Here is a 26,621-nt window from a genome sequence, read left to right as displayed (position 1 = left end):
TGTAGATCGTCTTTGGAGAAATGTCTATTTAGTATGTCTTTTGCCCATTTTTGAATCAGGTTGTTTTGTTGTTGCTGCTGAGTTGCAGGAGTTCTTTACATAGTCTAGATACTAATCCCTTATCAAATATATGATTTATAAAACTTTCTCCCATTCTGCAAGTTGTCTAGGCTTTGACATCACATAACAATTGAACTTGAAACAAATCTGTAGTTTGTAATCCTTTTTAGAAAATATCAAAGAATATTTGCAACATTAGAAGATGCAACATTCATTAACATCAATTATCATATGAAAATTAAGTTCAGCAACCCTGTGAGATACAGCACCTAATTTCAGGCATTTAAATTACATAGTAAAGTTGATTAAAATTTTGTAACTTTTCATAAAATAACAAAGAACGTAGAGAGAAGCATCCAGGAGAGCATATTTTCATGGGTTTGTGCTTTCTCATCTCATAAAAGGATGTTATTTTATTTAAAATATTTTGTCTCCTTATCTTATGATAACCAAAGTGGCCTAACAATCCATCCAGTAAAAAAGCACCCCTAACCCTGCCAAGCAAAAACAAAAACAACTGCAACAACAAGAAAAAGCCTCTCATGAAGCCCAGTACTATGTCTTTATCAGTTAAAACAGGTTTCAACAGTGCCTTCCAAATGTGCTTCAAATACTGGACAGCCAGGTGAGAAAACCAAGATCTTAAAACTTGTAACTTCAGTGCTTTTTGTAAGAACACTGCCACAAAAATAAGAATCAATGTAAAGTTAACACTATATTGGGGGCTTTGAAGTAAACTTCAGCAAAGACTATAAATCAATTAAATATTCAGTCACATATTAAAGATTATTCTCTGGTGTGATAATTATTTTATTCAGAAGCAAGATTAAGTTCAGGTTATATTATTTCTGCTTTTAGAATATAATTTTCAAACTTATAAGACTTTAGCAATTATATACCAATCCTCAGAAACCTAAACGCTAATATCTAAAATTGACCATTCCCTAATTAATAAACAACACAAATAACCTGACAGGGAAAGTCTAGACTTTGTGGTAATCCTGGATCTCCCAGCTGGCTCAAAGAGCCAAAGCTCGTGCTAAGGTAGTCTTAATTCTAGTTCAGTGTTTTTCTATTATCTCAAAATTGGAACACACTCCTAAGCTAGACAGCTATTTCAAATTCTTTCTAGTAATTGGCAGGGTGTAAATTATAAAAAAACAACAAATTCCAAAGCATTGGCAAAAGAGCTCCACAATTATTAGAAACCTACATTTAAAGTTATTCTTAGTGTCTCCTGAATTTTACCTCCAATGAAAGGTTTCACTTCACTCCTGTATTCAAAAACACTGCAGCAACAATTTGATTAAGCTCTTCTCCCAGATGCCAAGTATGGTACTAGGCATGTGACATGTATTATCTCATTTAATCATGAATTAGCCCCATGAAATATTTATATAACCCCTATTTTACAAACGAGAAAACAGGGGTTTAAGGGGTTTAAATAATTTGCTCAAGGTTACATTCCTAGGAAGTGGTAGAACCAGCAATTAATAAATTAACTTTTAAAACACAAAGCCAGTACTTGTAACTACTATGGTCTAATACCAATACCTCCCAAGAGCTAACATCCTAGAGGAATGGATTATGTCTGGATTATGTGTCTTTACAATCCAGAGACATAAATGTCTTAAATATATACCAGGTGGCAAACTTGACAACGGCAGGCACTAATGTATTCATTCTCATGGCTGCATGGCCAGCTCCTAGCATAATGCCTGGTACTGCAGAGGCCTTTATTAACTATTTGGTAAACACACGAATAAATGATTGTGTAAATTAACAAAATGCACAACTAAACTAAAGAAGGACACACAACCTACTCTGGCTTCTGATCTATGAACTAAGATCACTTCTTTCTTTATAAAACCAATCTACTGTGTTTTACTAAAATTTACTAAAAATATAAAAATTAGCGGCCAGGCACAGTGGCTCACGCCTGTAATCCCAACACTTTGGGAGGCCGAGGCAGGCAGATCATTGAGGTTCAGGAATTCAAGACCAGCCTGGCCAACATGGTGAAACCCCATCTCTACTAAAAATACAAAAAATTTGTTGGGCGTGGTGGCACACACCTGTAATCCCAGCTACTTGGGAGGGTGAGGCAGGAGAATCGCTTGAGCCTGGGAGGTGGAGGTTGCAGTGAGCTGAGATCACACCAAGGCACTCTAGCCTGGGTGACAGAGTGAGGCTCCATCTCAATACAAAAAAACAAAAACCAATCTACTTCATTAAATATCAATTAAAAAAAATTCATCTATCTGATTAACCAGACAACAAATCTCTGAGAGTAAAGACTTCATTCTGGGTAAGTAACTACTGCCAGAGTAGTGAGTAATAGTGTTATGGACTGAACTGTGTTCCCCTAAAATTCCTATGCTGAAGCCCTACCCCCAGTACCTTGGAATGTGACCGTACAGTCACATGCTGCATGATGATGTCACAGTCAATAACAGACAGCATATATAAGATTATAATGGAGTTGAAAAACTCCTATCACCTAGTGACACACAACCTTCATAATATTGTAGCACAACGTGCATTACTCGTGTGTGTGGTGATGCTGGTATACATACATGTATCACGCTGCCAGTCTCATACAAGTCTAGCAAATATCATTATATACAGCACACAATATTTGATGATAATAAATGCCTCTAATACTGGCTATGTTTTCATTACATTACACTTTTTATCACTATTGTAGAGTGTACCCCTTCGACTTATTTTTTTTTTAAGTTAACTGTAAAATATCCTCAGGCAGGTCCTTCAGGAGGTAGTCTGAAAGGTACTGTTATCCTAGGAGAGGCAGCTCTATGTGAGTTATTGCCCCAAAGAATTTTTTTTTTTTTTGAGACAGTCTCATATTGCCCAGGCTGAAGTGAAGTGGCATGATCTTGGCTCACTGCAACCTCCATCTCCCAGATTCAAGCAATTCTCATGTCTTAGCCTCCACAGGCATGCACCACCACACCCAGCTAATTTTTGTATTTTTTTGGTAGAGACAAGGTTTCGCCATGTTGGCCAGGCTGGTCTCGAACTCCTGGCCTCCAGTGATCTATCTGTCCACCTCGGCCTCCCAAAACTGTTGTGATTACAGGCATAAGCCACCATGCCTGGCCTCCCTGAAGACTTTCTAGTGGGATAAAATGTGGAGGTGGAAGACAATGATATTCATGATCCTGACCCTGTGTAGGCCTAGGCTAATGTATATGTACCTTAGCTTACGAAAAGAAACATGCATTTGTATGTTCATTGCAGCACTATTCACAGTAGCATGGAATCAACCTAGATGCCCAGCAACAGTGGACTGGACAAGAGAAAATGTGGTACATATACACCACGGAATGATATACAGCCATAAAAAAGAATAAAATCATGTCTTTTGCAGCAACATAGATGCAGCTGGAGGCCATAACCCTAAATAAAATAACACAGGAACAGAAAACCAAATACCACATGTTCTCACTTAAAAGTAGGGGCTAAACATTGGATAAACATGGACATAAAGATAGCAACAATAGATACTGGGAACTACCAGAGGAGGGAGGGTGAGGTTGGGGGAAGGGGTGAAAAACTGTTGGTAACTATGCTCCTTATCTGGGTGATGAGATCATTCCCACACCAAACCTCAGTGACATGCAATTTACCCATGTAACAAACCTACACATGTGCCCCCTGAACCTAAAAGTTGAAAAAGTAAAAAAAAAATTTTTTAAATAGAAAAAAACTTATAGAATAAGAATACAAATTTTTTGTACAGGTGTACAATGTGTATTTTAAGTGTTATTACAATAGTGAAAAAAAGTTTATAATGTAAAAAAGTTACAGTAAACTAAGGTTAATTGAAGAAAGTAAAATATGTTTTATAAACTGAATGTAGCCTGAATGTGGCCTAAGTGTACAGTGCTTATAGTCTACAGTAGTGTACATTAATGTCCTAGGCCTTCACATTCATTCACTACTCACTGATACCCTGAGCAACGTTCAGACCTGCAAGCCCCATTCATGCTAACAGCCCTATACATACAGGTGTACCATTTTTTATCTTTGTTTTGGGGGGACCTTGAACAAGAAAGAATTTGGGGCGAATCCATAGACAAAAGGGAAAGCAAGTTTATTAAGAGAGTAAAGGAATAAAGAATGGCTACTCCATAGGCAGAACAGCCATTTTTTTAATCATTTATTCCGTATTTTTACTGTACCTTTTCTATGTTTATTCCACATATTTACCATGCCTTTTCTATTTAATATGCTCAGATATACAAATATTTAGCATTGTGTTACAGTTGCCTATAGTATTCGGTATAGCAACATGCTGTATAGGTTTGTAGCCTAGAAGGAATAGGCTACAAACAGCCTGGTGTGTTTAGGTTCTACCATCTGGGTTAGTGTAAGTACACTCTGCGATGGCAGAACAATGAGATCGCCTAATAATGCATTTTTTCAGAGCATATCCCGCTAATTAAGTGATGCATGACTGTATTTGGAGATAAGGCCTTTTAAGAAGTAATTAGGTTAAAATGAGGTCTTTAGAGTGGGCCCTAATCTAATCTGGCTGGCGTCCTCCCAAGAAGAGATGATGAGGACATACAGAGAGACACCAGGAGTGTCTCTGAAATGACCATCTGATGAGACAGGAAGAAGGAGGCTATCTGCAAGCCAAAGAAAGAGGCCTCAGAGGAAACTAACCCTGACAACATCTTGCTATAAGGCTTCTAGCCTCCACAACTATAAGAAAACAAACTTCTGCTGTTTAAGCCACCCAGCCTGTAGTATTTTGTTAGGGCAACTAAAGCAAACCAGTAGAGTAAGTAACTATTACTACTGAATAAGTAAAACACCTTTGTTGGTGGTGGTGTTTTGTTGTTGTTGTTTTTAGGGAGACATATTAGGAGACAGACAGGTCACTTTGGGATTAAAAGAGAATGGCCACTGAGGATTGGTGATGGAACTGTCTCAGTGGACAATTACCTTGAAGTAAATATTTACATTGAAGAAACTCCAAAAGACCTGGGAGCTGTGCTGCACTTAGCAGGGCTAACATTTACTAAATGCCTACTACACGCCAGGCACTGTCCCATTTTACAAATGGGAAAACTGAAACACAAAGAAATCAAATAACTTGTTTTGGGTCCTACAAGCTAGTAAAGTGGCAGAGCCAGGGTAAGAGCCCAAAGAGTCTGGCAAGGTTGTCACCCCTCATGCATTCCTGTGTGTTTGACGCTGTGATGCTGAGAGAGTATGCAGGCTTTCCTTGGTGACGAAAAGAACTTCAGCACTACATGACACTATTTGGAGGCCAGAGCATGTAGATCCTAGTTTTTAATACTGTAGAAGTTACTTTTTGCCTTTTCGAAGATTTTGTGTTAAAATATTTTGAAAACAGCTGGGTGCGGTGGCTGCCGCCTGTAATCCCAGCACTTTGGGAGGCTGAGGTGGGCGGATCACGAGGTCAAGAGACCATCCTGGCCAACATGGTGAAACTCCATCTCTACTAAAAATACAAAAATTAGCTGGGTATGGTGGCATGTGCCTGTAGTCCCAGCTACTTGGGAGGGTGAGGCAGAAGAATCGCTTGAACACGGGAGGCGGAGGTTGCAGTGAGCCGAGATTGCGCCACTGTACTCCAGCCTGGGGAAAGAGCGAGACTTCGTCTCAAAAAAAAAAATTGAAAACAGAAGGTTTAAAGATACTCATATAATAGTTTCCATTACAGAAACCACCTGTTTTCCCAATTCTGCTAAAAGAAAAAAAAAAATCTTATTTTCTGAGTTCTAAGATTACTGTTTTGACTATGTAATTTACTGTAAATTTAATTTATTCCAGCTGTTACATACAGTATCACATTTAATTTGAACTTCTATAGTACAAATATATAAAAAATAAATTAATACTTCAAACTGTGTCTTCTCAATAAATATCATAATGGTGAGAAAATGGGCTTAAAAAGCCTAATATTCACAAAACTATATTGCATTCTAACATTAAAACTTCATAATATAGCAAAGATAAAAAATAAATTCTTAATTTATAACATGAGTATGGTGACAGTTGACTTGAAATCACTGTAAAAAAATAAGGAAAACAATTTCAAAATTATTTCAATATATTTAAACCTGTGAAACCTTTTTCAACCAAATTCTTGCAAATTGATAAAAACTGAGGTATGCTTGGCCGGGCACGATGGCTCATGCCTGTAATCCCAGAACTTTGGGAGGCCAAAGTGGGTGGATCACAAGGTTAGGAGTTTGAGACCAGCCTGACCAACATGGTGAAACCCCATCTCTACTAAAAATATAAACATTAGCTGGGTGTGGTGGCGCGCACCTGTAATCCTAACTACTCAGGAGGCTGAGGCAGGAGAATCACTTGAACCCGGGAGGCAGAGATTGCAGTGAGCCGAGATCGTGCCATTGCACTCCAGCCTGGGCAACAGAGCAAGACTCTGTCACAAAAAAGAAAAAAACTGAGGTATGCTTAGGTTGAAGTAGAGGTGAGTAGAAAAGTCAAGTCCAGAGCTTTACCTCTGCTCCCCCATCACAACTATAAGGCAGCCTTGTGGAATACTGATGATTCACCCATGTGCAGTTTGAAAAATGTCTACACTAGGAATTACAGCTCACAGGAAATTTTGACAATGTATAAGACAAATCACTTACAAAAAAATGAAGATGAAGATATGCAATGCTCTTTGCTTTTAGAAGAAATTTTCAGAGTTCCTTCCTCCCTCCCTCCCTTCTACACTTACTTACAGAGCAAGGACTATACACCACACCTAGCACAAACTGGGGAAGAAACGCATTACAGTCTAGAGGGTTGGGGGAACAGATAACAAAGTAAGTAACCAGGCACACAGATAAAAAGAACCCCCTCGTAATTACATTTGTAATGAGTGTTATATTAAAGAAACAAACTGGGTGTAATCATAGAGAGTTAATGGAGGTGAATGCTGGGGACGCACAACTTCTTCGAGGAAGAATTAAGAAATGTAAAGGAGGAAGGCCTGATAAAAACTTGCCAGAAAACATGGGAATTATTTCATTCTTAACTTTTTGTTATACAAATTTCCAAACTAAATAAAAAAGAATATTAAAAAAAACCCCTACGTACCATTAGCCACTCACAGACAAACTTAATTTATTTATACTAATATCCACTCCTCCCAGCCAACCCTGGATTATGCTGAAGTAAATTCCAGTTATTGTATCATTTCACCTATAAATATTTCAGTATGTATCTCTAAAATACAAGGTCTCTTTTCTCTGACCCACAATGAAAATAAATTAGTAATCAGTAACAGTAAGTTATCTAGAAATACCTCACGTTTAAAAATTAAGCAATATAATTCGAAATAACTCATAGATAAAAGGAAAAATTTCACAAAGAAAACTGAAAATATTTTGTACTAAATTAACAGAATAAGAAAAGAATTATATGGTTGCTTTTATCTATGCAGAAAAAAGCATTTGATAAAATTCAATATCATTTATGAAAAGAATTCTTAGAATCTAGGAATATAACTTCCTAAACTTGATTAATAGCACCTATGAAAAACACACAGCTATCATTATACTGAACAGTGAAAGCGGAAATATTTTCCTCACAGTTGGGAATAAATCAAAGATAACTGCTCTCACCACTATTCAACATTGTGTGAGATGGCCTAACCAGCTCGGTAAAGAAAAAAAGGAAATAAAAGCAGAAATATGGAAAAAAGTAAAAGTATCCCTATTCATAAATGACATAATTATGTAGAAAAAATCCCAAGCAATCACCAAAAACCTACCAGTGAGTTCAGAAATATCTCAGGATATATACTACACTATATATATATATATATTTTTTTTTTAAGTAATTATATAAATAAAATAAATAAATAAATAAATAAATAAATAAATAAAATGGAAAGTATATCTTTCCGCTGGCTTGAAAGTCTCAATACTATTATTCTTCGAATTGATCCAAATTATAATCTCAACAAGCTTTTTAAAAAAAAAAAAAACTAATTAGCTGATGTAAAAATTTATATGATAATGCTAAAGAACCTAAAATACCCCAAACAATTCTGACAAAGAATAAAGCTGGTGGCGTTACACCACCTGGCTTCAAGTCTTGCTAGAAAGGTAGAGTAATCTATTGGTATAAGGCTAGACAGAGAGAACAATGGAATGAAATACAGTCCAAATGTATACTTTCTTTTTTTGCAAAGGTGCCAAAGGAATTCTATGGCAAAGGATGTTTTCCAAAAATGATGCTACAACTGTACATTCACATGGGAGGGGGAATTCAAACTCTGTATCATACCACAAACAAAAATTAATTGAGTATATCATAGACTAGAAATAAAAAAATTATAAAGCATTTAGAAGAAAATATTGGGAAATATTTTCACAATCAGTGGGTACAGATTTCTTCAGCCACATACAGAAAATAGCCATAAGAGGAAAAATTAGTAAGACTTCATAAAAATTAAACATTTCTGTTCATCTTAGATTGAAGAGCCATGATCAAGTACATTAAAAGTAGGCTTTCATACTTCTTTCTGTATTTAAGTGCATTTATAGTTATCACGATATATGCAAAGATAATAGCTGTTTCTGAACTGAGTTTTTTTCTAATAAAAAACAGTTTGTTAAAGACTAATAAACAAGAGAAAAGCATGTGAACAATAAGTACACAGCTCAATGAATTTTCACATATATAACCCGTGTTACTAGACCCAGTGCAAGATCAGAGAACATTACTAGCACCCTGAAGCTCTGTATTCCCTCCAAGGGTAATCAACATCCTGACTTCTAACACCACTGACCATAGTTTAATGGCTTTTAACTCTTTAAAACTGACGAGTATATACAGAATAGATGTTGAATAACTGACAGTTAACATACAGACACCTGGTCTCAAGATTGAAAAGTATTAAAAAAGTATCAATTAAATGAACTACATCTTTCAGCATGGTCTACCTTTGGTTAACAATATCCTCCATCTCACCCCTATTCTTCCCTCATGAAAGTAATTCTTACATTCGTTCCCAAACCTGGAACTTTCCTTGATTTTCTACTTTAGTTTAGATGTACACCCTTCTCCATTCCCATATACTTCTATCACAGTGCTTGACATGCTACTCTTAGATTTATGAGTCTTTTTCCTCAACATAGTGTAAATTATTTTTATCTACTTGAGTTGAAGACTCATTGGTACAGAATCTTAGTAAACTTGCAAAATTGTTTAACATTTCCAGGTCATAATAGACTATTATGGGTAAATATAATAGAAGGGCTGAGAGCAACAAAAGCAAAGATTATAATATATATCCTAGAATATTCTGTGTAAAGCCAGAAAAGACACATTTGGACCCACAGTTTTATAACAGTAAAAACTGAAGAAAAATCTCAAAAAGTAACACTCAGTTTAAATGTATGGATAACTATTAATGCATTAACCCAAAGACTACTTCCCTTTGGAATCAAAATGAGATTCTAATCACAATATGGAAAACTATGCTTCCAAAATAAAAGGGCATAAATGTTTACATACTCAAATGAACAGATACAAGCAATGAAAATCAAATAATACAACCTCATTTTAATTTGACATAACTAATGACATTAGTCTCATTCTATTAAAATAAAAATATTAATTTTCTATGGACTAACATGCCACTTTTACTGCTCTCAATGAAATAACTGGATCCTCTACTATTAGTGACAGGTATTGGGAAAACATGTATTTATATAAACAACTGAAATTTACTTTACCCCAAATAAAGAGTTTATATAGACAGAACTACATGACCCCTTTACTTCTCCTTAATAAATAATATTTTTCTACATATAGTTGATATAAAAATATTCACTAACTTTCAATTAATATGACAAATACAATACAGAGCCTTATATAGTTGGTACTCATAAGTCAGTTGATAATAACGATGATAAAAAGAACTTCACTTACTGCTATTTCTCTACATGCCGACATAGAGATCCCAGTTCCTTCTATTTGTTTTAAAGCATAGTCTTTATCATCCTTCCTGTAAAAACAAAGTTATTTTAATATATAGATAAATCTATATTTATGTGCATTTTTATAAAGTAAAATATAAATAAATATAAATCACGTTTAATACACATTTGACATTATTCAATATAATCATACAATGTCGTACAAGGAAAAACTTTTCAGACAACCTAGTCCAGTCCCATTATTTGATGAGGGAAGTTAGCTTCAAAGGAATAAAAAGACTTTTCCAAGGTTCCACAGTTACTTGTGGAAGACACAGATTGAGATACAGAGCTTCTGACTTCCAGTAATAGATTCCTTCTGCTCTAATATATGAACATAACACACACATATAAAATAAAACCTGCTTTCTCAAACCTATTCAGATATTAGTGGGTCAGAAAAGTTAAGAAATGAATGTGTCCCTAAGACACAAAATGGTTATAATTTAAAACATGTTATAGTAATCATAATTTGATAATAAATAATTTAGGTCATCTCCAAAGACTTTCAAAGACACTCACGCAACATGTGTTTACTGAACACTTACTATGTACCCAGAACTGTGCTAGGTACTGAGGATACAACAAGTTCCTTCTTTTAGAGAGTTTTCTGTGTCTACCGGCTTAAAAAGATAAGTAACACACCATAATACAATATGATAAGTGCTATGATATGGCAAGTGCAACAGAAAAGGTTACTCAAAGGGGACTTGGTGGAGGACCCAAGCAAAGACTCCTCAGAGGCCGGGCGCGGTGGCTCACGCCTGTAATCCCAGCACTTTGGGAGGCCAAGGCAGGCAGATCACGAGGTCAGGAGATCGAGACCATCCTGGCTAACATGGCGAAACCCTGTCTCTACTAAAAATACAAAACAATTAGCCGGGTGTGGTGGCGGGCGCCTGTAGTCCCAGCTACTCGGGAGGCTGAGGCAGGAGAATGGCGTGAACCCAGGAGGTGGAGCTTGCAGTGAGCCGAGATCACGCCACTGCAGTCCAGCCTGGGCGACAGAGCGAGACTCCGTCTCAAAAAAAAAAAAAAAAAAAAAGACTCCTCAGAGAAAATGCCATCTGAGGCCTAAATGGCTGTTCTCAAACCTTTTGGTCCCAGAACCCCTTTATTCTCTTGAAAATTACTGTGGACCCTGACAAGCTTTGGTTTATTATATCTATCAATATTATATCCTATACAAATTTTAAAATGGGAACTTTTAAAACTACAGAAGTTTATATCCACTAGCCACCAGAGCAACGGAATAGCATCATCACATGTTGGATCATCTCTGAAAGAAATCCACTAGGCACTCATTAGAATGAGAATGAAAAAGCAAACAATATCATAGTATTATTACAAAAATAGTGTTGACCTTACAGACCCTCTGAAAGGATCTTGTAGACACCCAGGGGGTTCCAGGATCACACTCTGATCACTTGATTGTGTGTGTGTATGTGTGTATGTGTGTGTGTGTGTGTGTGTATGTTTGTGTATTAGTTAAGAGAGGTGCAGTCACACGAGGAAAGAGAAAAAGCATTTGAGGGAGACTGGATACTGTATACAACTAGAGATGAGGCTGGGGATAAAATCAAGAACCACAACACAAGTCTTTTCATGCCAAGAACAACAAGAAGGGCACCTTTAAAGGTCTGTTGTTGTTGTTGTTGTTGTTGTTGTTGTTGTTAAGCAAGAGAATATCAATTATATTTTATCTGGAAAATGTATCTTTGGCTGCCTTGTGAATGCTTAGTGGGAGTAAATAAGGAAAGGAGGCAGACAGAACAGTTACAAGTAATTAGTATTAAAATTATTCAGTGAGAGATGATGATGGCTATTGCAGAATGGTGGTTACTATAGAGAACAGACAGATAAGAAGTAGGGTCCTTCATGATTGACTACTGTGGGTAAGGAAGAAGAAGTTAAAGACAATGATTTCTGCCACAGGCTACAAAGTAATGACAGCATTATTCACTGAAATTAAAAACCAGGTAGGAGGAAAAGTTTTGAGGGAACAGGTAGGTGATAGCTCCATTCTGTGTAGGCTGAGTTTTGGGGACCAGTGAGACATCTAAGTGGGCATAGCTGCTGGCAAGCAGAATAAACACTAAAGCTCAAGAGCAAGCTGAAGACACAGATTTACCGGAATCAGCATGACACAGTGATCGAAGCCACAAGAGTAGGTTCAACGAGAGCAAAGAGAAGGACTGCCAAGAAAAAGATTTTCAAAAAGGGCAGAATAGCAAATAGTACAAAAATCTGCAGAGAGGTCTAGTGAGGTAAGAATTGTAAAGTATCTACTGAATTTAGCAATGATTAAGTCAACAATGGATAGTGGAGTAGGCAAAAATGGTTGCAGCGATGTGGTGGCAGGGTCTATATTGCAGAAGGCTGAGGGGTGAATGAGACATACGTAAACTAAGACAACATATGTAAGCAATTCTTTGAAGGCGAAAAATAAGGCAGGTGCTGGAGTAATACACGAGGTTAGAGTTATTATTTCTTAAGATGGAAGAGACTTGATTATGATAAGCACTGACAGAAAGGACCCAGAGAAAAAGAGCTAACAATATAGGAGAGGAGAAAAAAATCCAGAGAACAAGCTTTCAGGGTCTTTGCTCTCTGGCTTGAAGGAGAAACGTCTATTCCATCGTAATAGGAAGAAAGGACAGATAAAGGAACGAATACAGATGGAAAGAAGTTGGTTCAGAGGCAAAAAGCTGGGGGAGTTCCGATTTTGATATGTTCATTTTTTTTCTGAAAGTGGCAATGAGGTCATATACTAAAAGGAAGGGCAGACGTGATAGCACTGGAGACTTCGGTAGTAAGACAGTTTAAGTGAACAAATTAATAAGCCTTTATAAAATCAATTAATTTAAGTCAATTTAATACTTTATTATTTTAAATTATTACTAAAACGTAACATTGCTTTATCTTTGTTTTTACAACATATTTTATGCCAAATCCTTACTTGGGAAAAGAAATCACAATTACAACATTATTTTTCTGGAAAAAAATTTGTTTTGTAACAATCAGTTTTACAGCATATATCTAGTAAAGCACCATGAGTACTCATTATATGAAAAAGACATTAAGAGGATCTGTACTTAATATTCACTGTCTGAATGGTTTCTGAAAGAAAGACGAAGTTAAGGACATAAAAATAAAACAAAATTGGAATCAGAATAGTCTATTAGACACTTTCATGGGCAGGGTTATTGATTTAACCAGATGGTCAATCCAAGGGTATAACACATTCTATTATATCTACTGTTTAAGAATTACATCCTAGAATTGAACCCCCTACTAAGAAAGAGAGTGGTGGGAAAGAAAATAATTTAAACTAAAGATTTACCCATTCACCTCCTTAATATCCACCACTTTCTCTTATTTAAAAATGCCCAAGGTGGTATATGACAATTTCTTCTCTGTGAACTAAAAAAATTCTAATATTCAATCAGTCTTCTCCCCTACTCCAAGTAATATATGTTTTTTACTTTATAAAAGTAGATTATTAGAAAGAAATGTGCAATGGAGAAAAATAATACCAAATAAATTATAAATGACATCTGATTATAAAAAAGGCAACCTCCTCTTGAAAATCACCTAATATAATTACAACATAATATAATAGTGCTATGTGGTTTACATGGCAAATTTATCTCTCCATCCACACATTTTTTTAGTAAAAGATACAAAGGAGATGAAAAAGAGTTGTTCACTAGTGTCAGTAATGATCCAAGGGAAGTAGTCAGATTAAATGAATGGTTACAATACAGACCGAGTATCCCTTATCTGAAATGCATGGGATGAGAGGTGTTTTGAAATTCTGATTTTTCAGGATATTGTGGAATATTTGCCCATATATAATGAGATATCTTGGGGATGAGATCCAATTTAAACACAGGATTCATTTTATGTTTCATATACACCATATACACATTGCCTGAAGGTAATTTTATATAATATTTAAATAATTATGTGCATAAAACAAAGTTTGTGTACAATGAACCATCAGAAAGCAAAAGTGTCACTATCTCTGCCACTCCTGTGAATCACCTGTGGTTGTTTGGCATCACCATCATTCATGACTCTGAATTTATATGCTACTAATAACTAATTATTTTCTTACACTTAAGTACTTAACAGTAAAAAAATACAGCATATCAGCCGGGTGTGGTGGCTCACACCTGTAATCCCAGCACTTTGGGAGGCCAAGGCAGGCAGATCACCTGAGGTCCGGAGTTCAAGGCCAGCCTAGACAGCATAGTGAAACCCCATCTGTACTAAAAATACGAAACTTAGCCGGGCGTGGTAGTGGACACCTGCAATCCCAGCTACTCAGGAAGCTGAGGTAGAAGAATTGCTTGAACCCAGGAGGTAGAGGTTGCAGTGAGCCAGGATTGCGCCATTGCACTCCAGCCTGGGGGATGAGAGCGAGACTGAGTCTCAAAAAAAAAAAAGAAGGTATATAATTAATATTGTGAAAAAATGTGTTCAGGGTAGTCCTAAGCAGCACAGTAGCATCACCAGAATACCTTTTCTCCCTTGAGGACGCAGAATCAACGGTGTGTTATGCACCTGCATGTGACTACGGCCTGTCACATGAAATCAGATGTGGAATTTTCCACTTGTGGCATCAGGCATCAAAAAGTTTCAGATTGTGTAGCATTTTGGATTTCTGACTTTTGGATGAGAGGTGCTCAAATAGTGTTCTAAGCACTAGAGAAAGAGGAGACAACGCAATGTATGTTCAAGGTATGAAGCTGGATAAGACAAGCCTTCAGAAAGTCTATTTAAATTAGAATCTGAAGACTTAAGAAATTTGATAAAAATACTTAACAAACTAGGCATAGAAGGAATATAGCTCAAAGTAATACAGGCCATATATAACAAACCGACAGCTAACATCATACGAATGAGGAAAAGCTGAAAATCTTTCCTTCAAGAACTGGAAGAAGACAAGGATGCTCACTTTCACCACTCTTATTCAACATAGCACTGGAAGTCCTAGGTAGAGCGATCAGACAGGAGAAAGAAATAAAAGTCCTCAAAATTCAAAAGGAGTTAGTCAAACTGTCTCTCTTTGCTGATGATATGATTTTATATATATATATATGTATTATATGGAGTCTTGCTCTGTTGCCCAGGCTGGAGTGCAGTGGCATGATCTCAGCTCACTGCAGCCTCCGCCTCCTGGGTTCAAGTGATTGTCCTGTCTCAGCCTCCCGAGTAGCTGTGATTACAGGCACGCACCACCATGCCTGGCTAATTTTTGTATTTTTAGTAGAGATAGGGTTTCACTTGTTGGTCAGGCTGGTCTCAAACTCCTGACCTCAAGTGATCCACCCACCTCAGCCTCCCAAATGATCTTGTATTAAAAAAAACCTAAAGACTCCACCAAAAACAACTCTTAGATTTGGCAAATAAATTCAGTAAAGTTGCAGGTTACAAAATCAACGTATAAAAGTATTGTTTCTATGTATCAAAAATGATCCAACCAAGAAAGAAATCAAGAAGTCAATCTCACTTAAAAAGCTAGAACAAAATTAAAATACCCAGGAGTAAATCTAACTAGGGAGATGGAAATCTCTACGAGAAGGACTACAAAACACTGTTAAAAGAAATTAAAGATGACATAAACAAAAGGAAAAACATCCCAGGCCCATGGATCAGAAGAATCAATATTGTTAAAAGGACCATACTACCCAAAGCAATCTACAGATTCAATACAATCCCAGTCAAAATACCAATGCCATTCTTCACGGAGTCAGAAAAAATAATCCTAAAATTTGTATGGAACCAAAAAAGAGCCCCAATAGTCAAAAGCAATCCTGAACAAAAAGAACATAGCTGGAGGCATCACATTACCTGACTTCAAAACACATTACAAGGCTATAACCAAAACAGCATGGTATTGGTAGAAAAACAGATAAGTAACCCAATGGAGCAGAATGAAGAACTCAGCAATAAAGCTACATATTTATAGCCAACTTATCTTTGACAAAGCTGACAAAAACTTGTATCAGGGAAAAGGACACCCTCTTTAATAAATGATGCTGGGAAAACTAGATAGCCACATGCAGAAGATCTAGGCAAAGAATTTATAACTAAGACCTCAAAAGCACAGGCAACAAAACCAAAAACAGACAATGAGACTTTATTACACAAAAAAGCTTCTGCACAGCAAAAGAAATAACATAGTGAAGAGACAGCCTGTTGAATGGAAGAAAATATTTGCAAACTATTCATCTGAGGGGACTAATATCCACAATATAAAAGGAACTCAAACAGCCCAACAGGAGAAAACCAAATAATCTCATTGAAAAGTGGGCAAAGGACATGAATAGATACATTTCAAAAGAAGACATACAAAGATCCAACAGGTATATGAAAAAAATGCTCAATATCACTAATCATCAGAGAAATGCAAATAAAAACCACAATGAGATACCATCTTACCCCGGTGAGGATGGCATTCATTAAAAAGACAAAAGATAACAGATGTTGGTGTGGACACAGAGAAAAGGGAACTCCTCTTACACATGGTGGCTGGGAATGTAAACTAGTACAGCCACTATAGAAAATGGCATGGCAATTTCTCAAAAAGCTAAAAATCGAAATACCATTCAATCCAGCAATCCCACTACTGGGTATCCACTAAAACAAAAAGAAACAAATGTATCAAAATGATACCTGCACTCACATGCTTATGGCAGCACTATTCACAATACCAAAGACAGACATAAACCTAAGTGTCCATCAACAGATGAATGGATAAAGAAAATGTGGTATATATACACTATAGAATACTATTCAACCACACACACACAAAGAAGGAAATCATGTCATTTGCAGCAACATGGACGAAACTGGAGGTCAACATGGTGGAAATAGCTTAAGCAAAATAAGCCAGACGCGAAAAGACAAATATTGCACGTTCTCACTTAACCTGTGGGAGCTAAAAAAAAAAATGTGAACACGTGAAGGAAGAGTGGAAAAACAGATAACAGAGAGACTGGGAAGGTTAAGTGGGAGGCAAAAGGGTGAATGAAAAGTGGTTAAAGGGTATAAACATACAGTAAGATAAAAGGAATAAATTCAGCCGGGCGTGGTAGCTCACGCCTGTAATCCCAGCACTTGGGGAGGGAAAGGCGGGCAGATCACTTGAGGTCAGGAGTTTGAGGCCAGCCTGGCCAACATGGTGAAACCCTGCCTCCACTAAAAACACAAAATTAGTCAGGCATGGTGGTGCACAGCTGTAGTCCCAGCTACTAGGGAGGCCGAAGCAGGAGGATCACTCGAACCCAGGAGACGGAGGTTGCAGCAAGCTGAGATTGTGCCACTGCACTCCAGCCTAGGCGACAGAGACTCTGTCTCATAAAAAAAATAAATAAATGAAATAAATTCAACATTTGACAGCAGAGTGGGATGACTACAGTTAACAAAAAAGTACTGTAGTCGGATGATAGACATCCAGAATTCCCTGATTTGATCACTATGTATTATATACATGTAACAAATGTTCTCATGTAACTCATAAATTTGGGCACGCACACACACAAAAAGACTTAAGAAGTTTGTCAGGAAGAGAGGGAGGCCCTGGGGAAATAAATCAGTAGTTACATGAGACACCCCAGGAAGTGGAAACAGTATATACAAAACTACAGAAGCATGGAAAGGGTCTGCCATGCTCAGAGAATAGTAAAGACTAGCAGCAAGTAGTTTAATATCACTAAACATACCACAAAATAAATGGCTACCGGTGACAGCCCTGAGGACAGATGAGATTTTAGAAATAGGCGGCCGGGTGCAGTGGCTCAGGCTTGTAATCCCAGCACTTTGGGAGGCCGAGGTGGGCGGATCACCTGAGGTCAGGAGTTTGAGACCAGCCTGCCCAACGTGGCAAAACCCCGTCTGTACAAAAAATACAAAAATTTAGCCAGGCATGGTGGTGGGTGCCTGTAATCCCAGCTACTTGGGAGGCTGAGGCAGGAGAATCACTTGAACCCGGGAGGCGGAGGTTGCAGTGAGCCAAGATCCTGCCACTGCACTCCAGCCTGGGCGACAAGTGCAAAATTCTGTCTCAAAAACAAAAACAAAACAAAACAAACAAAAAAAAAACAAAAAAAAAAAAACAGAAATAGGCAAGGTAAGATGGGGGTATTTTATGGCACCTGTCTCAAAAGAGGTATGTAGAGTGTCCAAAATAAGTTAAGAAGAAAATATTATATTAAAAAAATAAAGCTGAGGGAAAATGTGTTGTGTAAGAAAACCAAAAATAAGAGGATGGGACCATGATGAAAATTCACCTTTAAGAGATGGGAGGAGTAAGATGAAAATATAAAATGGCCGCAAAGGATTGGTTAAAAAACTGAGCAGTGTTTTGGTAAAAGAGAGTATGGAGCACACAAATCAAACTACACTGCTTCCTAAAACTCTATTTAAACTATGGTAAAGGGAATTTTTAAAAGACATAAGGACGATAAGTATAAAAACTGAGACTGAAGATAGCATAAAAATGTGGAAACTAGAAAGCAAATGGACAAAAAATAGCTGATTAAGAGGATCCAAGAAAACAAAATCAGAAGTTGACAGTGAAGAAAGCCAAGAACCAATTAGACTTACACAGCAAAATCATGCAATGGCAGAGAATTGAGACTATAAAATATGCTAGAAGTAGAAATGGCTGAATGGAAGACAAAGTGGAGGAGATATCCTAGAACAGAATAGCAGGAGACAAAGTGAGAGAGGGGCAAAAGAAAAATAGGAAAATTGGAGGAGCAATTCAAGCAATTCAAGAAAACTTCCAAATTGAAAGACATAATTTCCAAAACTGGAAGGGTCTACCAAATTCCCATCCCAAATAAATGAAAATAGGCCTATCCCAAGACACAATATCTACATATTTCAGAAAAGTGGAGACAAACAGTACATTTTACATTTTACAAGCTTCCAGTGGGGATGGGTAACAAATCACTTAGAAAGGGATCAGTAATCAGGAGACCTTTGGTCCTCTCAAAATGAGTTTTGCAAGCTAGAAGTTCTAGACTAGCTCTGCATTGTATAAAATTGTTATATACTGATTACATTGTCAACAGATGTGGTTTAGGGTTTAAGCTCTGTGGTTTAGGGTTTAGGAGCCTGTTCTGGAGAATTAAATTTTCAGTTGCAAAGATAGGAAAATATTCTGGAACAGTCAACCAGATCAAGGAGCTTGCACCAGATTGTAAAGCAGTACACTACTTCTTTCATGGAAAAAGACATGCTTTAAGGAAAACAAAACAGCTGAAATAATCATAATCACTGTGTTTAGTTATATAGTAAGAACTGTGAATTACCTAAAGGCTAATGTGTAGGTCTAAGATTTAATTATCTTAAATATGTGATAATGTGTAAGATCATAAACAACTGCCATTGCATGCTGAGGTATGATGATTATTAAGGGGGAAAGGTCAGTGAGAATGCTGGACTATGACATAAAATCTTAGTGGCTGTGCAAGATAATAAACCAGTTTGGTCCGAATGCTTTAGAGATGTTAAATGAACAGCCTAAGTTGCTTTGGTGTGGTATCTTTGGTATTTTTAGTGACCACAGTATTTCCAACTAGGGAAAGAAAGCAAAAGTTAAAAAAAAAAAAAAAGACAGCTCTTAAATATATGTTCTTGGGCCTTAGCCATATTTTAAATCATTTTTAATAAAATTTCATTATTTAAAACAATTAAAGGTCCTAACAATTATTGTTCTTGCATTATTTTCTTTCTTTTTATTTTTGTTTGAGACAAAGTCTGGCTCTGTCACCCAGGCTGGAGTGCAGTGGCGCAATCTCGGCTCACTGTAACCTCCACCTCCCGGGTTCAAGCGATTCTCCTGCCTCTGCCTCCTGAGTAGCTGGGATTACAAGCACCCACCACCACACCCAGCTAATTTTTGTATCTGTAGTAGAGACAGGGTTTAACCATGTTGTCCAGGCTGGTCTCGAACTCCTGACCTCAGGTGATCCACCTGCCTCAGCCTCCCAAAGTTCCGGGATTACAGGCATGAGCCACCGCACCTGGTTGTTCTTGCTTTATTTTCAAAAACTGCCTAGAACTATTTCTTACCTTGGGTATCATGACTCAGGTTAACAATTGTATCATTTAAAACCCTTCTAGACTTAGGTCCCAAATTCAGAATAACAAAGCTAATAAAACGTATTTTACGCCTAAAACATCCTTAAATTTTCTGGAATGGCCAGGAGGTAACATAAAGATTTATTCCTTTACCTTAAAAAAGGAAGGATAATAGAAATAATTAGATTTGGTCAACATTCCTACAATGTTATTTAATTCAAAATTATAAAAATTCTTATTGATAAATTAATTTATTTGGTAAATCACAAGAGAAATTTGGGCTGTATAAATCAATTATATGCAAATAAAATATTAATGAATATATCCTCAATGGTTATGTACTTTAAGTTGAAAAAAGGCAAACTCATGCTCATATACAAAAACTGGTACAATAACTACTTCAAATTGATTTTTGTTTCTAGATTTCAGTATCCTTATTAATCATGGACAATCAAGGTACACTTGATGATAGAAACTAAAGGGCCACGTAGATTTGTCAGATTCCTCACTATTCATAATATGTCTAATCCCCTGCATAATTACTGACTGAATCTGTGTATTGTATGCCACTAGATGATCCATTCTTTTCCATTCTATTAATTCTAGTTAAGATAATAACTTTCCAGGGCTGCTGAATCTTATCATTGATGGAAACAACTATCAGCTGTATATGGCCGTAGATTAGGTGTCTGGCTATTTTTGAAGCATCATTAGACAGAGACTGCACTTGAACACACTCCAATGACTTTGCCAGATTCTGTTAACAACTAATGCAGCAGTAAAACACATTGGCTCTGAATTATAGCATCGCAACAGATCCTCAAATTACTAAAGGTCTGTCCCAGCCAGAGACCTCAAACTAAAGATTCTTAAGAATCTTCCAGAAGAAGATGATCTTAGAGACAGATATAGCTTCTACCCAAGACTTCTGGATCAAAAGGAACGAAAGAGACAGCTTCTACTCAGGACCCATGGAACAAAGATCTAGATGGCCAGAACCATAAATTATCATGCTTTAATTTGTATGCTCTTATTTTGTGTCCAAGCTATTGTCTTTCCTTTGGTTTAAATTTCTGAATTGTTAACAGGCACTTGTTAACTCCAACAACGATACCTATAAGACCTTACCCATAATATTGCTTTGTGCATCCCTAGTCACTGTCTGTATGAGTCTATTGTCAGGGTACAATTTGCTCGTGATTTAACTAAAATATGCAATCAAACCAATGGTTGAGATTGTAGCCACTTTCTTTTGGGTGCAACTCAGCTTACTCTAGTTCCTGGGCAATTACATTTAACTACTAAGCAACTCTTTAAATAGTAAACTAAAAATAGTAAACAGGACAGATACCCCTATGATGTCATACTTAGGAAAGTTTTTGTCAACACCAAAACCACACTTAGGGACAAAGGCTCTTGGCTTAGAAGTAGAATACAAACTCTGTTAATAATCTCTCAGCATTTGTCAGTGTTAAATTACTCAAATGTGACCTCCAGAACCTTAAATGTGTACAGCCATTTTTCGTTCAGATGACTCAACAGCTAACCTTAAAACAATAACAAAAGGTATACATGAAGAACTGACTTCAGTCCAACAACAGATGAGGTTGTCTTAATAATCTCCTATCTCCTAACAATGGTAAAGATCTGTATTTCATTGAACAATGATCTGAATACCCTGAATCTGGCCAAAAGGAGGGAATGAGAAAGTGAAATGAACCCCACTGATAATCATATTATTATTTCCCTAACAGATCGGTAGCACGGCCAGTACCAAGAGAACCCAGCCCTGCTTCACTCCTCCCAAACGGAATACTGAAGCACCTAATTCCCAAACTGACCTCCCTTCATGACAATATCCAATCCAGATCTGTTCTACTTCCCCTAGTCTTTCCTTAGAATCATTCAGCCCAAGCCAAATCCCTATAAAGAACTTGCTCTTTTCTTACCGAGATACCTCATACTTCATCTGGCGTGAGCTCTCGCTTGCTAGAGCAGGCTAATAAGTTTTGGCTACAGGTGCACTCCTGGTGGCATTTATCATTTATCATGCCCAATAATCTTACACAAGATTACAATGCATCAAAGCAAATTAAACAACACTTTCTTTTAAATGAGGTAAAACCTGAAAGAGCACTTTCTAGCTAGTTATGCTACATTTTGTTTAAGGTCCCTTGCCATATTAACACATACTGCTTTTTTGATCATTCTGACAAATGAAATATACTAGGTAACTTTTTAGTTAATGATGTAAGTTTATTCAAAAGATTATTAGAACTATTAATTCTAGATTTGTGGGAATTTCCTAGCAATTTGGGGGAAGTTCCTGTGCTTGGCACTGTTATAATCTCTGAGATATGGCACTGAACAAGACAGATTCAACAGGAATTACTTTCAAGTTTCCTGGCAGCTCCAGATGCCAAGCTCCAAGAAGTTGCAAGCCTTCTTGTAAACCTAGCAATGAATACCTCTCCTCTGCATTATCTCATGAAATTCAAGCCAGGTTTATACTTCAAATTCATCTTTACCTTGTTTGGAGAAACAGCAGAGCTTAAAAAAATATTTGTCTTGGAGGCTGAAAGAAACACTTGGTCTTTTCTTGTCTGTTTCAGTTATAAAATTACAGTACATTATCAGAACTAGAATGTGGAGGTTTTCCATTAAATTACTTACCAATCAGTCTTTCTTAAATTATCTTCCCAAAGTCATTTGCCTTAACAACTCTATTAAGAAAAAAAAATTTAAACTTATTGGATCTTCAAGAATCATATTTTGACATTGATCATTTATAATCATTCTTTTCTCCTTAACACTCATGCTAGAAGATATGGGCAACCCTAAAAACAGAAATTAATGTACACGAATACTTTTGCACTCAAATGGTTAGTATTTCCTGCTATTTCATAGATCTGCCTAATTTATTTCTACTTGGCCTGAAACATATTTTTCTTAAAAGTACTATTACATTCAGGCATGTGAATGCACCTGAACATTTCTGAAGTGTTCATGTTATACTCCAAGTGTTACTATAAATAAGTACTCAAGAGTGATGTGCTAATAAGACATCCTAAAAATGTCTTTGTCTCCTTAATCGACTTTCTAACATTTCTATCTTTTTAGTAATATAGTCACCAAATCAAAGCTACTTTCTACCCCGTCAACAATACTAACTGTAAATATTTTATGAATGCTAGTTGTTGAAAAAATAAGATGAGATCTAAAATCATTACAACTCTGCCTCACATGGAGAGTCTTTATTGCACCATTAGCAACACAATGTTTGAGGTTATAAACAAATGCCTGAGTTTATAAACAAAAATATCTGACCACAAACTTTTCTATTTAAAGAAATTAATATACCTTCTCACTCTTGCACTCTGTATCAATTATTTCTAGGATCCTTTAAACACTAATATTTAACATTACTTAATGGTTCTCATTTAAATTGGTAAGGATATGGAGGAATGGTTACTATTCCACAGGCCTTGCTACTAAGAGTACAAACTGGTACAAACATGTTAGGGACCAGTCTGGCATAGTGATTAAGTACAGCATGTGTATTTCCTATGACAGCCAATGCCTCTGCTGATTATACACCACAGGAAAGGTTTCATATAGCTGCAAAAAGTACCATCTTTGCAGAGGCAAACACTGGAAATAGATAACCTGTGGTATATGCACTTAAAGACACATTTAAAGAGAATACATGGTCAAAAGTCACAAGCTGAACGTGCATATACGTGAGTAGAAAAATTTTATTTAAAGGAATGAGATTTACACTACAGAATTCCTTATATAAAAATTTAAAACCACACTCAAAACTATATTTTCATGGACACAAGCATGGAAATAAAGATATCTGGGTTGGAAAGTGGGCTGGAAGAACATACACTGAACAAATGAGAACGAGGGCCTAATATAAAGGGAGAAGAGGACAGTGCTCTGGACTGAACTGTCTCCCCCCAAATTTCATATGATGAAGCACTAACCCACAATGTGATGGTATTTGGATATGGGCCTTGGGGAGGTAATTAGGTTTCGATGAGTTCATGAAGGTGGGGTCTTCAAGATGAGATTAGTGCCATTATAAGAAGAGAAACCAGAGCGCTTGCTTGTTCCCTCTCCCTCTCCCTCTCCCTCTCCCTCTCCCTCTCCCTCTCTCTCTCCCTCTCTCTCTCTCTCTCTCTCTCTCTCTCACATGTGAGGACACAGTGAGAAGACAGCCAGGAAGAAAGGAAGCCAGGAAGATAGCCCTCACCAGGAATCTTGATCTTGGATTTTACAACTTCCAGAACTGGGAGAAGTTAAATGTGTGCTGTTTAAGCCACCCACTCTATGTAGATGTAGCCCAAACAGACTAAGACAGAGATGAAGGAATGAAAAATGAAGAACAAAGTAGGACCTTGTACAGACTGACAATGACAATATGCCATGCATCGAGCAGTATTTTCAACTCAATTCTATGTACCTATTGCCCAAAAAACAAACAAGAATCAACCATCCAGTTAAATGGAACTACCGCTATCTAAATACAAAATTAGGGATTCCCAAAATTCTGTAGAAAAAAAATTATCGTGAGAGGAGAGCCAAATTTGGCAAATGCCAAAGATATATAAAATCGACAAAATTTCAGTTGAATTACATAGATATTTGACAGTGTTAAACACAATAAAATTAACAAGACCTGATCAGACTTTCAGAAAAACCATGCAACAAGCAGTACACATTGGAAGGGATCAAGACTGGAGGGAAGAAGACTACTAAAGAAGTGACTGTCAATAACTCGAGTCAGATAAGTACCAAAACTATAAATTTTGCTATTTTCAATATACAATTTAGCACGAGTGTAAACAGGAAGTGATAAACTCACCTTGGCTGCCTAATAGTAGTCCCAGATACAGGTAGAGTGTTTCTCGTGAATTAAAAACTGGCAAGAAGAAACCTGCCCCTTTTTCCCTGTCTCCTCCCACTCACCACCCCACCCCCAATTACACATAAGATAGAAGTGGATTAAGGACTCACTGTAATTAGGTAAATATGTAACACCCTACCAAAAGTGAAATAACCACACAGAGTGAGAAAAGATCAGTATATGTCACAGTGGATGGAGGTGAATGAATGGGAGCATCAGCAGCCAGCGAATCTCACAAGGCAGGGTCATTTAGGGTCATCAAACTTAAGTCTTGTAGCAATGTTAATATTAACCTTTTCTATTTGAGAATTTCATACCATTCTTTAAAAAAATTACTCTAATAAATTTATAAGCCCTAAGTTCTCCTAATTCTTGAACCAAATTCAGTGTTATTTGAAGGGAGGAAACCATGTCATTTCCCAATAGTTGGAAAAACATCATTGCCACTAACTTTCCGGAACACCAAAAGGCCCATTTCTCTGTAAGCAAATATTCAATCAGTGGGACTTCCTGGCAGGAAGACCAGGAATAGGATTTCTATATGATGATGATAACATTTATCCCGAATTTTCTGTATGTCAAGATACTAGGCATTTAAGATACATGTTGAAGTCAGCACCACATGCGCTCTGCAATTATTTATATAAAATATCTATTTTACATGTCTCTAAGTATGTATAATAGGGTATTCATATATGGTCTTTCTATACATATATGTATGCACATGTAAATATATAAAAATAAATAGCATAAATATGAACATATATAATATATACATTTACATATCTGCATATAGACAGACATAAAGCTACATAAAGATATACATGTATATATAGAAGAGAAAGAGAAAAGAGGAAGATGAGATAATTTCTTCTTATACTTAGCTCACTGACTGCCCACAGTACTGTTTTTAACTTATAAGGCCATTAGAACAATTTTACAGGAGTTTCATAAAGAAAAAATATCATAGTTATATAGTTTACATAGCTTATTACACACATTGTCACTTTTTTTCCATTTTTTAATTGTGGTAAAATATGATTAACATAAAATTTACCTTAACCATTTTTAAGTGTACAGTTCAAAGGTATTAAATACCTTTATAATGTGTACAACCATCACCACCATCCATCTCCAGAACACTTTTCACCTTGTGTAAAGAAACCATAACCACTACACACTAACTCCCCCTTCCCCATGCCCCTAGCTCCTAGCAACTATCATTCCACTTTCTGTCTCTATGATCTTAATTACTCTAAGTACTTCATGTAAGTGGAAATATACAGTATTTTTCTTTTTGTGACTGGCTTATTTCACTTAAGCAAAATGTCCTGATTCATCCAGGTTGTATCGTATGTCAGAATTTCCTACCTTTTTAAGGCTTACTAATGTTCCTTACACATTTGCTCATCTATTCATCCTTCAGTGGGCACTTAGGATGCTTCCCTGTTTTAGCTATTGTGAATAATACTACTATTATCATGCAGTATTTATATATTTGCATGATATATGCAAACAGGGATTTATATTCCTCTTTGAAGGCC

At 36.6% G+C, this 26,621-nt stretch overlaps 1 protein-coding gene across 4 annotated transcripts in view; it reads right to left on the bottom strand.

The window, feature by feature from the left end:
* The window catches only part of CDK8 (cyclin dependent kinase 8), a 151,110-nt gene that overhangs the window by 57,579 nt on the left and 66,910 nt on the right, over positions 1-26,621 (bottom strand). For 3 of the 4 annotated variants that reach the window (NM_001260.3, NM_001318368.2, NM_001346501.2), the window contains exon 2: positions 10,018-10,093. In NM_001260.3, coding sequence (NP_001251.1) covers positions 10,018-10,093 — 76 coding nt within the window. Of the gene's footprint in view, positions 1-10,017; positions 10,094-22,838; positions 22,889-26,621 lie in introns of all 4 variants that reach the window. The other variant, XM_047430033.1, reaches the window with a different exon arrangement.

Source organism: Homo sapiens, chromosome 13 (genome assembly GCF_000001405.40).
Source record: "Homo sapiens chromosome 13, GRCh38.p14 Primary Assembly".
NCBI lineage: Eukaryota > Metazoa > Chordata > Mammalia > Primates > Hominidae > Homo > Homo sapiens.
The sequence above is the reverse complement of the archived record's forward strand: the minus strand, read 5'-3'. Positions and strand labels throughout refer to the sequence as shown.